Raw genomic sequence first — 17,427 nt, 5'->3', positions numbered from 1 at the left:
TGTTGCCTCTCCAGTACTGCACACATTTTAAAAGGGAAGCTTCATTTTTTTTCTCCCGAGGAAATTTTTAAAAAGAATTCATTGCATTCTTTCAAAGGAAAATATATATATATATATATATATATATATATATATATATATATATGTGAGATTTTAAGCAAAATTTCAGTAAAAATTAAAAGTAAGTAAAGTACAGAAGTTAAAAAGAAGTAAACAATAAAATTGAAGAAAAATCCCAGGCAAGAAAGCCTCTTCACCACATGGCAGCTCTCTTATTTGTGTACTTTTAAGGCTTTCCATAGGTATGAGCACCAGCAAGCACCTCTCAGCCTTTCCTGGAGCCAGAATATATCCACACTGGCATCTTTCCCTCATGCTTACCAGGCTCTCTCTACCACCAACTTCATATCCACTTAGACATCTCCGCTCAGAACACTGGTCACTCCCTCAGGAAAGCCATTCATAACCTCCCAAACCAAGCCGATCTCCTCCCCATAATAAGCATGAGACATGCCATATACCACCCTTTTAAGCACTAGACACAGTTTGGATTATACATCTATTTGCTTGATTATTTAATTAAAGTACCATCCTATAAAATTCACAAAGGAATGAATCATGTTTCTTTGCTCATAAATTCATCTCTACCTCCTACAATTGTGTCTGGCACAGAATAGATGCTCAATAAATTACATGCTGGATAAATGAATGGTTTTGATGCATAATAGGAAATGCCACCCCATCAACTAACTAAAGACTGAACATTAATGTTTTGGCATCCCTTTTAACTCAATCTTACAAATATAAATTATTTCATTTACTTGGTGGCAAGCACAAAGGTGAGTAAGGTAACCTCTGCTCTCAAGGGGCTGATAGCCTGAAAATGGTGGAAGATATATAATTTAAAATGTGACTGCAACAACTGTTAATACAACTGACTGCTTAATATATATTAGCCACCGTTCTAGGCCTTTTGACCCTTACAACAACCCTATGATGGAGGTACTAGCATTAACTTGTACAGGATCACACAGGTTATATATGGAGGAATCAGGATTCTGATTCCAGTTGATCTGTGCCCGCAGCCATTATTCTTAGCATCAATACAACACTGCCTCTCCTGAGAATAAGAACATTATACAGCCTCATAAAAAGTTCTATGAAAATTCAGTATGTGGGAAACTTGCAAAAGAAAAACAATATTTTATTGGGCTTTGGATATTGGGTAAGAGATGCTCACCAGTAAAAAAATAGAGGAGGAAGACAATCCAGGCAAAGAGAATAGAAGACAACAAATCAGAGTCTTGAATATGCACTTATAATATATGTACCAAAATAGGTGCCAAACACCAGATCAGAGGGAGTGCTAAAAATCAGATAAAAATTAAATTAAGGCCAGGTGAAAGACTTTGAATCCTAGGTGAAAGTGTTTTAAGTTTATTTTTAGATGATGAGATAGCACTGAAAGATTTTAATCAAGTATTGGTTTTATTAGAATGATGTTTGACAAGTTCAGTTTAGGCAGACTGCAGGAACCTTGCTTGCTCTTCTGCCTCTCGATAACATTATTTCCACCACTGCCTTCAATTTCCACCTCAAGTATCAGCTCCTTAGGGAAGTCTTATCTAACCATGTCTCACCAACTTACTCAGACTCATCCTTTTAGTTTCTTATTTTCATAGTTCTCCTGGAGTTTTATTCTAACAGCTATCACAGCTTGCAATTATGTTCATGGGTAAACCAGAGTCCTGAGATAAGAAAGAGTTTGATTTCACATAAAATGGGAAGTTATCAATAGTTGAAGCCATAGTAATAAATGAGATAAACCAAGAATAACTTGTCAAGTGAAAGACAAAGAAGTGGACGAGAAATACCAGTAGAATACCATCACAGTGAGTTTAGGCAGAAGCAGATCCAGGGGAAATAGCCAAAAAAAGAATCCACGGAAGCAGACAGAAAACCAAGAAAGAGGTGTTCACATGGTAGGCAGGAGCTGTGATAATATCAAGGAGATATTGGTCTTAAGTGACAAATGCTATACAGAAATCAGATAAGAGGAAGAAAAAAACAGCAATAGATTTGTTTTTTTCCAGAATAACTCTTACTTACCATTTCTTATTTGCCTGTTTCTATCTAGAAAAGAGAAAAGAACCACCTGAGTAAAGGAAATCTGCAACTTGAACTCACTAAATAAGTTGGTATGTGGTGCAAAACTCAAGTCAATAACTTTAAAATTGACTTGCTCTTCATGGCATTAATGTAAACTGATGGGCAAGGTGGCCCTGCCTACAGCTTTGATTTTCAATACAAGATAAAAATCATTGCCATTGGTGATTTTTATCTCATATCATCAAAGGACAAAGCATAATACTTGATTTTCCCCTTTATTTAAGAAATCATCTGCTAAACTGATACCTGCAAAATCTCAAAACAATTTTTAAATTCTGATAAAATTAGATTCTGATCCACAGTGGTCTTGAATATAATTGTGGTTTGCCAACACTGCACAAATATGACTCATTTATCCAGCACTAAGCATTTCATAATATAAAAATAGTAGGAAGGGAATTACATTACAACATTTTATAAAAGTAATCATCCGTAACTAAGAATAATTAATAATAGACAACCCAAAACAAGAAAGAATTTCAAATTATTTACCATAAGCTAAAATATTGGGCAGTTGGGTAGAATTGAGCAGAAACAAGAAACATAAATAGAGCCTTAGCAAAATGATCAGACTAATTAAAATACATCCTGAAGAATAAAAGAAAAGAGACTTTTCAAAAGTACTATACTTTGTATGCTTTGTTTTCCCTATTATAATGTTTACAAGAAAAAGTAAAGGTGACAAATTTTCTATCAAAAATGGTGACATCTTTGAATACTGTAGAAACTTTTTTCTGTGTTTACAAATGTTGAGACAAATTCAAACTGTTGAGCAAATTCTTAGAAGCTTATCCAAAATTACATGAAAAAATATCTTCTAATTTTTAACTAATTTTAATAAATTCATTGCAATTTATAGATATTTCTATATAAATTATATATTTATACTTAACATATTTACATATGAAAATTTATATATTTATATGTACATATATTTATATAAACATTATAAATAAAAATGTATAATTATAAATCTTTTCATTATAAATATGAATATTTATAATTTATATAATTATATAGTTATATGAAATTACATATTTATATGTTTATATAGAATTACATGTATTTATATAAATTTCAGCTAATAGACAATATACTTTAATTACAGAAGTAAACAACTACTGAAAAAAATTAAGTCTACCATTAAGCATAGTATACCAATTCCATTTTTGATATTTTTGTTTCCAATCATTTAAAATAATTTCAAACTCAGTAAGTAATCTCATATTATAAAGACAAAGGACCAAAAGCAAGGATAAGGTAAGCTAGAGTTATGAGTACTCAAGTTACCTTGTAAACTACTAGAAATGCTGATCATTAATGCCTTGATCTGTATTATCTATGACCACACATTTTAAACTTTAGTAGGCCTTATTAAAACCCCCACTTTCAATTAAACAATCAGAACAATTTTAGACAGACTTAGATAGCTATGATTTTAGCAGTTACTTATCCACGTTTTGTTTAAGTAAATAAGATCACCTTCCAGCAGGTTATTCCAGTAATTTTTAACACTTTCAAGATCCAGGAAATCTAAAGTGCCACACTGAGCACGTAGGCAGCTGATGAAGGGAAAAGGGGTTTTATAAAAAGAAGTAAAATCACTTCCTGTGGTTAACATTTTAGAACCTAGCCCAGAACAGTCTGTACCAATATTGTGGGTTTGTTGGTATCTTATTTATGAGCATCGGAAACAGACTTGCTCTGGTGCCATGCTTTGAGTAGGATGCACGTGTGAGACAGATGGAACTTGTACTTCTATCAGATACAATTAAAGACTTACTGAATATACTGCCAAATACCACAAATATTAAACCATTTTAGAATAAGTTTACTATTGCTTTGACAGCAGTTTCAACAAAATAGTAGGTTATTCCAACAAATGAAAAGATTATTTTGAACCAGTAGAATTATTGCAATTTAAAATTTGATAGTTTGGTATAGCCTAATTTTATTAACAGAGTACAACCTACACAGATTTAAACTTAAGGATTTGACTTTAATAAAATGCATCAAGTTCTTGTATGTGAAAAATTGGGAAACAACTTTTAAATGAGCTATCCCAAGGAGAAATTAGTAAGTCAGAAGAGAACAGAGCCAAAGACTGAACACTGAATGAAGCTGCTTTCCATGGAATGGCAGATGCCACCAAGGAAGAAGGCCCAGGAGAATGCCTTTCTCTGATGGTATTCCACCATCTTCTGAGAATTTCTTCTTACAGTTGCCAAGTGCATCAGAGAGACTAGGTAGAATAGCAGGATAAAATAATCAATGGATTGATTAACTAGAAGTCACTTTTCATGCCAGTCAGGGCAATTTCACTTGAGATGGGAGTTCAATCCAGACTGTGGTGGGTTGTAGACTAAATAGAATTTTAGCTAAGTGTCCCTCCACCAAAAAATAAAATTTGAACTTATTTCAAAACAAAAATGCTAAAGTCCGTCATTCAAACAAACAAACAAAAAAAAAATGAAGTTAATAAAATAAGTAGGTTTCTAAATTCCTTAGAGCTAGACTAGCTATTAACGGCTAATTCATATAAATAAAATATGAGATGTGAATGGCAAGGTTTAGTGAGGACATATAAGATATATTTTGCTACCGTACTTTAGAGTATTTCAATCAAAGAAATGTTGTTTTTAATGCTCAGTGCTTATCCTAGGAAAAAAAATATCAAGAGGAAATTGAACTAAAATGGCAGAAGTAGCTCATGTACCTAAATCTCCATGTGCACGCACCCACCCATCTAAAATTAATAGAAACAAAAAATACTGAAAATGAATTAAATTTTTCCTCTTAACTATCAGAGATTTTCCACTTAGGTGAGTAGGAAAAAATCTAAGTAGATCCTGTTAAAAAGAGACATGCCTAAATCAAAATACAAAAAGGGAAAAAATAAAGGAATGAAAAAGATAAGCAAGGCAAATGTTAGTAATATGTACAGTAATGTTGAAATATTAGAAACATTATATTTAAAGCTAAATCATTACATGGAAAAAATATCTGTCAGTGTTATAAAAAGTAAAGTCATTTTGAAGCATATTATACTGTATTAGAATAAAGTACCCAATAAAAAACTACAACTAAACACGATGCATCCAAATTATTATAGCACCATTAAGAATTATGTTCGAGAAAAAGATTGAATGACATTTTTCCCTCAAACAAATATTTATTTTTTCTTTTTTCCAGCTTTGATTTTGGATTCAGAGGGAAAATGCACAGATGTGTTATATGGGTAAATCTCATGTTGTAGGGGTTTGATATTCAGATTATTTCACCACCCAGGTAATAAGCATGGTACCCAATAGGTAAGTTTTCTGTTCCCACCCTCTTCCCACCCTCAAGTAGGCCCTGGAATCTATTGTTCTGTTCTTTGTGTCCATGTGTACTCAGGGTTTAGTTCCCACTTATAAGTGAGAACATGCAGTGTTTTGTTTTCTGTTCCTGCATTAGTTTGCTTAGGATAATGGCCTCCAGCTCCATACATGTTGCTGCAAAGAACATGATCTCACTCTTGTTTATGGCTGTATAATATTCCATGTTGTATAGGTACCACATTTGCCTTATTCTGTCCACTATTGATGATGATTTAGATTGATTCCATGTATATGTTATTGTAAACAGTGCTGTGATGAACACATATGTGCCTTTGTCTTTAATAGTAGAATTATTTCTATTCCTTTGGGTATATCCCCTGTAATCCGATTGCTGAGTCAAATGGTAGTTCTATTTTAAGTTTTCCAAGGAATCTCCAAACTGCTTTCCACAGTGGCTGAACTAATTCATATTACCACTAGTGGTATGTAAATGTTCCCTGTTCTCCACAACCTCACCATCATCTGATTTTTTTTTTTACTTTTTAATAATAGCCATTCTGACTGGTATGAGATGGTATCTCATTATGATTTTTATTTGTATTTCTGTAATGATTAATGTTGAGCATTTTTTCATATGCTTGTTAGGCCACGTGTATGTCTTGTTTTGAGAGGTGTCTGTTTATGTCCTTTGCCCAATTTTTAATACTATTCTTTTTTGCTTGTTAATTTGTTTAAGTTCCTTATAGATTCTGGATATTAGACCTCTGTTGAATGCTAGTTTACAGATATTTTCTTACCTCCTGCAGGTTGTCTGTTTACTCTGCTGACAGTTTCATTTGCTATGCAGAAGCTCTTTAGTTTAATTAGGTTCCATTTGCCAATTTTCATTTTTGTTACCATTGCTTTTAGGGACTTAGTCATAATTTATTTGCCAAGTCTAATGTCCAGAATGGTAATTCCTCTGTTTCTTTCCAGTGTTTTTTTATAGTTTTAGATTTCACATTTAAGTCATTAATCCATCCTGAGTTGATTTTTGTATATGGTGAAGGGAAGGGGTCCAGTTTTAGTCTTCTGCATATAGCTAGCACCGTTTACTGAATGGGAATCTTTTCCTCACTGCTTGTTTTTGTCAACTTTATCAAAGATCAGATGGTTATAGGTGTATGGCTTTGTATCTGGGATCTCTAACCTGCTCCATTGGTCTATGTGTCTGTTTTCCTACCAGTACCATACTGTTTTGGTTACTGCAGCCTTGTAATATACTTCGAAGTTGGGTAGTATGATGCTTCTGGCTTTCTTCTTTTTGCTTAGGATTGCTTATGCTATTCAGTGTCTTTTTCAGTTCCATGTGACTTTTAGTATAGTTTTTTCTAATATTCAATTACTTTGAATGTTGTTCATAATATGCAGTAAGGCTAAAAAATAAGTTTCAAAGTGGAATGTATGGTATGATCTGAGTTTTAAATAGTATATAAAATATAAATTCATATATAAGGGGCAAAAAATGTAGGGTAAAAAAAGATATGAAAATACCCAAATGGTAACAAAATCACAGGCAATCTTTACTATGCCTGCTCATTTTTCTATAATATGTGTGTGTGTATATATATGCATACATATATCACTTTCATAAAAAGTTTTTTAATAAAAAGTTACCTTTAGAATAGTGAGAACTTACTTTATTTTGTAACCTACTTTAAAATTAGCATATTTTAATTTTATTGGCAGTGTTTCATTTATCAACACCAAGCAAGGAAATCTACATCAAGGAAATAACAAAAGTCATTTGCTAGTTACCAAAAATTACACTATTACTTTGAGAAACTCCTTATTTATTTGTTTGTTTTTAGAGATAATGTCTTAGTCTGTCTCTCAGGCTGCAGTGCAGTGGTGCGATCATAGCTCACTGCAGCCTTGAACTCCTGAGCTAAAGCAATCCTCCAGCCTCTGCCACCCCAGTAGTTAGGATTACAGGTGTGTGCCACCATGCCTGTTTATATAGTTTGCATGTGTGTCCCTACCCAAATCTCATGTTGAAATATAATAGCCAATGTTGAAGGTGGGGCCTGGTGGGAGGTGACTGGATTATGGGAGCAGATACCTCATGTATGGTTTAGCACCATAGCCTTTGGTGCTGTCTTTGTGATAGTAGGTTTTGTGATAGTAAGTTTCATGAGACATGATCATTTAAAACTGTGGCACCTACCTCCATCTCTCTTGCACGTACATTCACCATGTGATATGCCTACTCCCCCTCTGTCTTTTGCCATGATTCTAAGTTTCCTGAGGCCTCCCCAGAAGCCAAGCAGATGCCAGCATTATGCTTCCTGTATAGCCTGTGGAATGGTATGCCAATTAAACCTCTTTTCTTTATGAATTACCCAGTCTCTGGTATTTCTTTATAGGAATGTGAGAATGGCCTAATGCAGAAAATTGGTTCCAAGAAATGGGGCATTACCACGAAGATATTAGAAAATGTGAAAGCAGCTTTGGAACTGTGGAACAGGCAGAGGTTGGAAGAGTGCCAAGAGCTCAGAAGCTAGGAAGATCAGGGAAAGTTTGGAACTTTTTAGAGACTGCTTAAATGGTTATGACCAAAATGCTGATAGTGATATAGATAATGTAGGCCAGGCTGATGAGATCTCACATGGAAATGAGGAACTTATTGGGAACTGGAGCAAAGGTCACATGTGTTATGCCTTAGCAAAGACCCTGGCTGCATCGTGTTCATGCCCCAGGAATCTGTGGAAGTTTGAACCTAAGAACAATGACCTAGGGTATCTGGTAGAAGAAATTTCTAAGCAGCAAAGTGTTTAAGATGTGGTGTGGGTGTTTCTAACACACTCTACTCATCTGCAGGAGTAAAGAAATGAGTTAAAGTTGGAACTTATATTTAAAAGAGAAGCAGAGTGTAGACGTTTAAAAAATTTGCAGCCTGGCCATGTGGTAGAGAAAGAAACAGCTTTCTAGGGAGAGGAATTCAAGCAGGATATGCAGCCACCACTTGCTGGAGAAATTTGCATAACTAAAAAAAGGCAACTGCTAATAGGCAAGACAATGGGAAAAAGGCCTTGAAGTCATTTCAGAGATCTAAGAGGCAGCCCCCTCATCATAGGCCTTGAGGCCTAAGAGGACAGCATGGTTTCCTGGGTCAGGCCCAGGGCCCACTGCTCTGCACATCTTTGGGACACTGTCCCATTCATGCTGCTGTTCCAGCACCAGCCCTGGCTCAAAAGGGCAGAGGTACACCTCTGGTCACTGCTTATTTGGGTTGCCAGAGGGTCATGAGCAATGGTAAGTTGTACGTTTCCTGAGGCCTCCTTAGAAGCTGAGCAGATGCTAGTATCATGCTTCCTGTACAGCCAGCAGAACCATAAGCCAATTAAGCCTCTTCTCTGTATAAATTGCCCGGTCTTGGGTATTTCTTTATAGCAATGTGAGAATAGCGTAATACATCTAGCTAATTTTTTAAAACAAATTTTTTATAGAGATAGGGTTTGTGTTGTCCAGGCTGATCTCAAACGCCTGGCCTCAAGCTGTTTTCCTGCCTCAGTGTCCCAACATGGTGAGATCATAGGTGTGAGCCACTACACCTGCGGATAAACTTATCACAATAAAAATTTGATATGAATTGTAAAATAAATTAAGTAGAAAATTTAAAAAACCTTTTTCTAAATGAAGAGAAAATGGGTACATATAATTCTTTTTTTACCCACATTAATAATTTTACAGTAACCAAGAATTGGCTGCTAAATGTCTGAATGTTTCTTTATATGATTTCCTAAAATGTTGTTTTAAATATATAGGCAAAATTTGTTCTTGCTACACACCTTTTTTGCTATATAAGTATACATTTCAGGAAGGAAATTAGAGTTTCAACCAAATTCAATAGTTTTTCTCCTTCTCTTTCTTCTTGCTAACTTCATTATAAAACCTAAGTTAATACTATATTTTAGCATTGTGGAGAAACACCAAATCCACAAAATTTAGCCTGTCTATATATGCCTTAACAAAATCAAATAAAACTTAACATATGAACTGTGATTTCTTTTAAAACAGATGTAGTGAAATGGTTATATATCTTTCTTAGGCTATGTTGGAAAAAGTGCTGGAATTAAATTCAGATACTGGAATTAAGACTCTTCAAGACCCTTCATTACCATAATCACTTTGACTTCTGAGATTTAAGATGTAATGACTGACCTGCTAGAATTTGAACTTGTGTGGGGCCTGTAGCCCTCTCTTTTGGCTGATTTCTCCCTTTTGAAATGGGAATGTTTATACCCCCATTGTATCTTGGAAATAAGTAACTTGTATCAGAATAAATACTCAATATTTATAAAATAAATGGATAACATATTAATGTACCCAACATAATTGACATTTACTACTCAACATAAAATTATATTTAAGCTGAGATGGGGAGGATGAGGAGCCATACCTATAGAACGTGCCACAGAACAATCTAAGTAGAGGGAAAAGAAATCATAGTTAAAATTGGAACACACTCTGGGTATGAAGAACTGAAAGGAGGCTAGGGTGGCCAGAGGGTTGTGAGCAAGAACCAAATGCTGTGAGACAGAAGGAAAATTAGGCAACTGTCAGATCATCTAGAGTCTAATATAACTGGTGCAAAGACTTTAGATATTTACATATAACAGGAAGCCAAGAAAAGGTTTTAAGCAAGGAAGTTAACTTGTCAGATATATGTTGTTTAAAGAAATGTATACTGCCTATTATGTGAAATAATCTAGGAGAGCTAAAAATGGGAATAGTTAACATACTTTGACAGTGAGTTGGTCTAGGATAGTGCGAAGAGCTGGTGGGAAGATAGTGAGGATAATGGGAAGAGCTTGAGATACATTTTGAAGGTAGAACCAATAGGACTTGCTGATATGTTAAATGTGAGATATGTGACAAAGAAAGGAATCTAGGGTCTCTTTTGGACAGGAACCAGCTGATTCAGAAATGCTGAGATGGGAAGAACAGGAAGAAGAGCATGGAGGTGGGATTCACTCTGCTAACTTCAAGAATATGAGATAGAGGCCAGGCGCGGTGGCTCACGCCTGTAATCCCAGCACTTTGGGAGGCCGAGGCGGGTGGATCATGAGGTCAGGAGATCGAGACCATCCTGGCTAACAAGGTGAAACCCCGTCTCTACTAAAAATACAAAAAATTAGCCGGGCGTGGTGGCGGGCGCCTGTAGTCCCAGCTACTCGGGAGGCTGAGGCAGGAGAATGGCGTGAACCCGGGAAGCGGAGCTTGTAGTGAGCCGAGATTGCGCCACTGCAGTCCGCAGTCTGGCCTGGGCGACAGAGCGAGACTCCGTCTCAAAAAAAAAAAAAAAAAAAAAAAAAAAGAATATGAGATAGAAAAGAGACAGATATCCCAGAAGAGCTAGATATAAATTTAAGTCACTAGCGTTTGAGTAGTCTGTAGCTATGGTATTGAATATGAATTCTAAATGCTCTTCAAAGAATTAATATGTCAGTATGATCAATTCTTTGCCTTCTACTTTTAAACTTAACTTCCTCATAAAGCAACCTTTTTCGATTACCTACTCCACCCTGACTCTTTCCTATCACCTGCTCTACTCTAACTCATTCTGATCACCTGCTCCACCCTAACTCATTCCAATTACCTGCTATCTGCTCTGCCCTGACTCCGCCAAAGCACTCATCCCATCATCTTTAAATTAGCCAATTGGAATTTGTTTAGCCTGTGAGATCTAACCCTAGCCAATAGGGGAATGACACAGTAGCAGGGGCCACGTGCATCAGGGATAAGAATCCCTTCCTCTCCCTTGTCCAAATGTGCACCCACCATCGGTGAGTGTGCACCCTTCTACAGAAGTACCTTGCCTTGCTGATAATTAAAAGAAAGTTTTATATTCAAGTGCTATTTCTTTTGTGGCACTGAAACTTTATTTATAACAATGGGAATGCATAATATGTGCAGTTAAAGAGGATAACTATAACTATTATATACACCTTATACACCTTAATGATTGGCAAAAGACTGTGTCAAGCATGTCTTTTTGTTCTGATGCTTCAGTGTCTGGAGTCTTGTTGACTCTACAGAGGCTGCCCCTCCTAGGGCTAACCACTTCCTGGAGATAGGAGATAACTCACCTGACTGTGTACTTTGTATATGCAAACCAAGCCACTAAAAGGCCACAACCCTCCTAACAGCCTCCTTTATCGGGCTCTCACTGAGCTCTCACACTCCAGGCCACCATCCCACAGTCTCCATCACCCCAGGGCCTGCTGAAATTATTCAAACTAGCCAATCCTAAGCCTGCTTACTCAGTCTTGCTTTGCCTTTCCTGTAGAAACCATGATAAAGGCCTTTGCCCAGGAGAAAACCCTTCCTCCTAGGAACTGTAAGCAACAAGTCATCTTTTCAATGGTGAATGTCTCATGATCTGTTGGCCTCACCATACCTTAATAATAATAAAACCTGTATTTTAAACAGACATTTTAGATGCATGAAAATGTGTCTTGAAAATTCTAGTGTTATTAAATAATTATGTATCATACTATACCAAGTTGCATTTCTCTGACTCCATACACTTCCCAAGTCCCTATATTTTCTCTTACATAAAAACTCTGCTTTTAAACTCCTGTTAGTCCCATCTATTTTACCTGGATCCTCAAAACTGCTAGCTTATCATGATGAGCCATCATATGTTTATTTACTCTCACAAACATTCCTATCATTAATTCTGACAGTGCATTGACAAAGACATTGTTGATGAAAAGAGTCGAAATCTGTAAAATATCTGAAGAGATTTATTCTGAGCCAAATATAAGTGACCATGGCCCATGACATAGCCCTCAGGAAGTCCGTCCTGAGAACACGTGCCCAAGGTGGTCGGGGCACAGCTTGGTTTTATAGACGTTAGAGAGGCATGAGACATCACTCAAATACATTTAAGAAATGCATTGGTTTGGCCCAGAAAGGTGGAACAACTCAAAGTCGGGAGGCTTCCAGGCTATAGGTGAATTTAAATATTTTCTGGTTGACAATTGGTTGAGTTTGTCTAAAGATCTGGATAGACAAAAACGGTTAAGATAAAGATTAAGGTAAAATAAGATACAGATTGTGGAGACCAAAGTTCTTTTGAAGTCTTATAGTGGCTGCCCTTAGAGACAATAGGTGACAAAAGTTTCCTATTCAGATCTTAGTTAATCTCTTTAGGATTGGAAGGGTCTGGAAGAAGAAGATTTAGCTATGTTAATAGAGATTCTTTACAGAAGCAGATTTTCTCTCAGAAAGAACAGCTTTGCAGGGCCATTTCAAAATATGGCAAAGAAACATGTTTTGGGGTAAAATATTTTGATTTTCCTTTTTGTCTCATAATGTTATGGCCAGAGTCAGTCTGGAAAGTAAATCATGATATATATGGTTAAATAAAACCCATCTGATGAGAATTTCTGATTTATAGGGCATGACTCCCCAGACCCCTTAGATAGGAATTTGGGCAAGAAAAAAAAAATCAGAGTTTAGTCCTCAACATTAACCTAAACCATTTGGTGAGAACAGAAAGTGAAAGTTTCCCAAAGTTACCAGAGCTGGGTAATATTGTGTTTATCTGAATACAACAAAAAATTCCTTTAAATAGAGAAAGAAATCGGCTATATTATCTGTAAGTCCTATTTATGAATGTGGACAATTGTATTTGGATATATATGTATATACGTTGCTCTTACATATTTTCCAGAAAATAATTTTTTTAAAAGCCTGAAAAAAACACTATTGCTGAAATGTTTTTATCAACTGGCATTCAGAATTCTAAGTTTAATTTACTACCTTTATTTTATGAACATTTAAAACTTATAGAAAATCTGGTGTTTAATCTATATTAATTCTATTTTTAAACGATAAAACTATCCTTATAATGTTTTAAAAGTCTTGCTTAGTAAAATAATCATTACATAAAATGTGGGTCTTTTCTGAAAAGCATATTACAGTTATTTTTATTACAGTTTAATAATTTTGATTCAAGCTGAATGATATCTATATTTTAAACATATTAAAGCATTTTGTGTTAGAATATTTTTACTTTTGGCAAATGTAAAATGTTCATTTTTTTTCAAGCAGAATGACAAACTACTTGAGCACTGTTGAAACTAATTTTTGTCTTTCCTAAAATGGAGAGGTAAGTAAGATGGATTAATCACACACACACATAATCCTGTTCCAAGAAATACTGTAGAAATCAAAATTTATACAATAAAAAGTAATAGGTGAATTATGTCTTTGAAAAGACAGTAATCCCTTCTGCAGAAAAATTTTACTGAGTTATTGAATTGTTATAATAGCTTAAGTCTCATACTTATTCACTACTTAATGCATTGAATTTCAAACTGTGGGATTTTTAAAAAGCCAAATATATGTGTTTTGTAAAGTGATTTAAACTTTAAGTGAAAAAAATTATATCCATGAAAGCTTGTTAAATGTTAAGAATGTAAGTTATACTATTTCTGTAAGAATATGTAAGTTATACTATTTCTACAAGAATAATAATAGGATGTAAACCCTATTGGTTCAGCATTTATTCACTGACAGATTATAATGTGGGACCTCTTCTGGTATGAGAGATTCACAGTGAACAAGACAGAGGAGCTTTCTGTACTCACAGATCTCATATTCTATGGGATGGATGTTGAAAACATCAAGTCAAAAGTGTGCGGTAATTTGTGGAAGTCAAGAGGATCAATAAGAGAGACAAGTATAGGCAGGTATTATTTAAAGAATAGCTCGAAATTACTAAATTGATTATTTTGCATTTTTTGGTGACATACATTTTTTTCAAAGTATTCCACATAATTGAAAAAGTCACTGCACTAAAGCAGCACCTAGAAATGGAGAAGAGAGGCCAAGCTATGTGAATGTCTAAAAACCACTTGAGAATTGGTATCTAAAAAGAAAGTTTTGCTTACTAGAGTTTTACAGCATATAAGAGGTAACATGGATCATGATAAAGTCAAGTTACAATTAGGAGGACAATTAATATCTGAAGCAGCTGGCTGGTCACTTACGCGGGTTGTCTCAGCCTCCTGTCGCAGGCTCAGGAGATACTAATTTCTGCTAACCAACCCCCAAGAGACTAATGTAAGCCAGATACCTAATTTGACACGGGAGTTATAACTGTCAAGTAAACTAGTAAATTTGCATCAGCTAATAAATCACCTTGTTTCTTCAAAACAGGAAATTCTATGAAGGAAGCAAATTTAAAATCAGGAAGTTACTTCAATGGCCATGGTTCTAACAGAAATAGATGAACAATCTTAATGGTCAACAAAAACAAAATTATAATTAGTAGTCTGAGAGATCATAACGATATGCATGTGTCAAGTAGACTGGTAAGTTTAAGTGCTATGGTACAACAGTCAGAGAAACTGAATTTCAAAATTTATTACACAAAAGCACTAACCTATCACTGTTAGGTAGGTATCAGAGGCAGAGAAATGAACTCTGATTTTTGCAGGAGAGATGAGGAGGTCAGCTGTCTGAATTAAAGTGCTTCATTATACATAAACTTGGCTCATCATACGTCTTTCCCTAGGCACTCTTTGATGTAGCCCAGATAGAGGAAGGGCTATTTTTGTTTTCTAAATTTGCATTTGTTGTTTTCCATATTATCTCGTCTTCTGTGATCCTAACCAAAGTTGAAACTTCATTCAGTAATAGACTCTCTGAATTTCCATGCTGCCGTAAGTGGAATTTCTGATACATTGACCACCACCTCCTTCCCTGGTTGGCAATGAAAGAAAATTGCCAACTTTAGGGCTTACCAAGATCAGGTAATGCGTGAGAAGCTGCAGCCATTTCAATGGCAGCTCCCAATTCAAAACCACAAGATGAAATTGTTTTAAAAATAGTAAAAATACCTTCAGAGACATCTTGTTGGAAAATTAAGGTCCACATTGTCCAACTAGCAAATACCTAGTCATTGCTAGACCCATCTCCAGGAAGAACATAAAAAAGTAGAAAAAAAAATTCAGAGAGGACACAACCACCTTGGTTCCTTTAAGGTTCTATTAAGTCTAAATAAAGCTTATTTCTCTTAAGGACAAGGAATATGAAGTAATTTCTTTTGTTTCAGACAACACTAAAGGTGAATCAGTACAAAGGATCCAGGCAGAAGATCTTGTGTACAGAAGCATCTAGGAAGGCCACCAGAAAGAGCATGTGTTATAGTACCCACTCTGAATACTGCTGGGAGACACAAACGTTTTTTTTGCCATCCAACTCCAGATTCCATGCTGAACCACCATTCTTTGAACAGAGTTCTTCCTTTGCATAAAATATAACATACTCAGTTAGGAGTGGTTACCGGCCGGGTGCGGTGGCTCACGCCTGTAATCCCAGCACTTTGGGAGGCCAAGGTGGGCGGATCACAAGGTCAGGAGATCGAGACCATCCTGGCTAACACGGTGAAACCCCGTCTCTATTAAGAATACAAAAACAAATTAGCCAGGTGTGGTGGCTGGTGCCTTTAGTCCCAGCTACTAGGGAGGCTGGGGCAGCAGGATGGCATGAACCTGGGAGGAGAAACTTGCAGCAAGCCAAGATCATGCCACTGCACTCCAGCCTGGGCAACAGAGTGAGACTCCATCTCAAAAAAAAAAAAAAAAAGGTGTTTACCATGCTATTTTGTTTGTTGTTTTCTTCTTTACCTATCACAGAGGCTGGCACATAGTATGAAATATTGAATAATCACTAATGAATAAATTAAGTTGATGATGCCTAAAATTTCTCAGTTGCAATCACGGTTCAGTCTCATATTTCTGAGACAATATTCCAGTACTCTTAATTGGAATCTTTGTGTATTTCCAAAACCTCTGGGGATTCCTCCACACCCCATTCTCTTGCATTACTTCTGCGGCAGTGGGGGGCTGTAGTGTTTGTGTCCATTTTACTACTTAAAACATATGAAAGCTTAATGTACTTTAACATTCCTAGAGATCTCATCACAGATTAATTTGTATACCAATAGGCAACAGTACTTTGTCCAAATCATTATTTTACATTTTATCTATATTAGTATTTTGTCCAAGATTATTATTAACTTTTGGTATCAAGCCTATTTGTGGTCATGATGTTTTAAAAACTAGCATGCATAAGAATTTGGAGGTGCTATATGCTATACCACCAGTTTCTATTAGAAATACAGAAAACAGACAGGGTACTGAACCATCATTACTTTTCCATCTATCACATATTCCCATCGATGACTAATTAGCAGAACAATGTGAGAGAAGTATTGAATCATGAACCTATGGCTCTTTGCTGGCCATCTCCCTTCTGTTAATGTAAGTTATTTTAGGCCTAAGTATGTAATAACTTAGAGTCTTGATAGTTGCAATGCAGGAAAAACATATGAGTATTGATTATGAACAAAACAGAGAAATTCAGATTCGATGCACTCAGCTTCCATACTTATTCCTCTTTTTTCATCCCTGTGGTGCACACACAGCTTGATCTCCCTAAACCTCTTGAATAATCCTTGCTGATGTTAATAACCAAAATGCTTAGCTAAAAAGGGCTAAATCAGACCCCTCTCTGCCTTCTAGACTCCAAGGAAGTAACTTAAGGAGAATATGGTGAATGGGCAGCCATCCCTTTCCTCTTTCTCCCCAAGTTGCCTTTTGGAGAGTCTAACAAAAACTATGGCACAAGATACTAGAAAGAGATCGATGATCTGCTCCTCAGTCTTGTCTAATAGTCAAAACTGATAGCCTCTGTAAATTAAAATCCCACAGATAACATTATTTTTAAGAATTAAAATACCTGCTGAGAAGTGATACAGTGCTACATACTTGGAGAGTAAGACCATTTTGAATGTTACATTCACCAGTAAATTAAGAAAAGCAATTTCAAAGACTTAAGGGGAGTTCTCATTAGAAATGGTATATATAAAATTCTCCCA

General features: G+C 35.7%; 1 protein-coding gene and 1 long non-coding RNA gene across 8 annotated transcripts in view, besides 1 other annotated feature; one reads left to right on the top strand and one right to left on the bottom strand.

The window, feature by feature from the left end:
* CFAP299 (cilia and flagella associated protein 299) overlaps positions 1-17,427 on the bottom strand; it is a 642,486-nt gene that overhangs the window by 459,143 nt on the left and 165,916 nt on the right. The gene's annotated exons all lie outside the window — the stretch shown is intronic.
* Positions 7,922-8,827: an enhancer, noted in NCBI's record as "OCT4-NANOG hESC enhancer chr4:81416935-81417840 (GRCh37/hg19 assembly coordinates)". NCBI's record gives its function as "activates a minimal SCP1, AML or CMV promoter by ChIP-STARR-seq in naive and primed H9 embryonic stem cells {active_cell/tissue: H9 hESC(naive and primed)}" and the evidence as "EXISTENCE:reporter gene assay evidence [ECO:0000049][PMID:30033119]".
* On the top strand, positions 13,058-15,736 carry LOC105377305 (uncharacterized). The gene is made up of 3 exons (XR_938931.3): positions 13,058-13,137; positions 13,593-13,650; positions 15,601-15,736. It is a non-coding gene; the product is annotated as an uncharacterized LOC105377305 (long non-coding RNA).

Source organism: Homo sapiens, chromosome 4 (assembly GCF_000001405.40).
Source record: "Homo sapiens chromosome 4, GRCh38.p14 Primary Assembly".
NCBI lineage: Eukaryota > Metazoa > Chordata > Mammalia > Primates > Hominidae > Homo > Homo sapiens.
The sequence above is the reverse complement of the archived record's forward strand: the minus strand, read 5'-3'. Positions and strand labels throughout refer to the sequence as shown.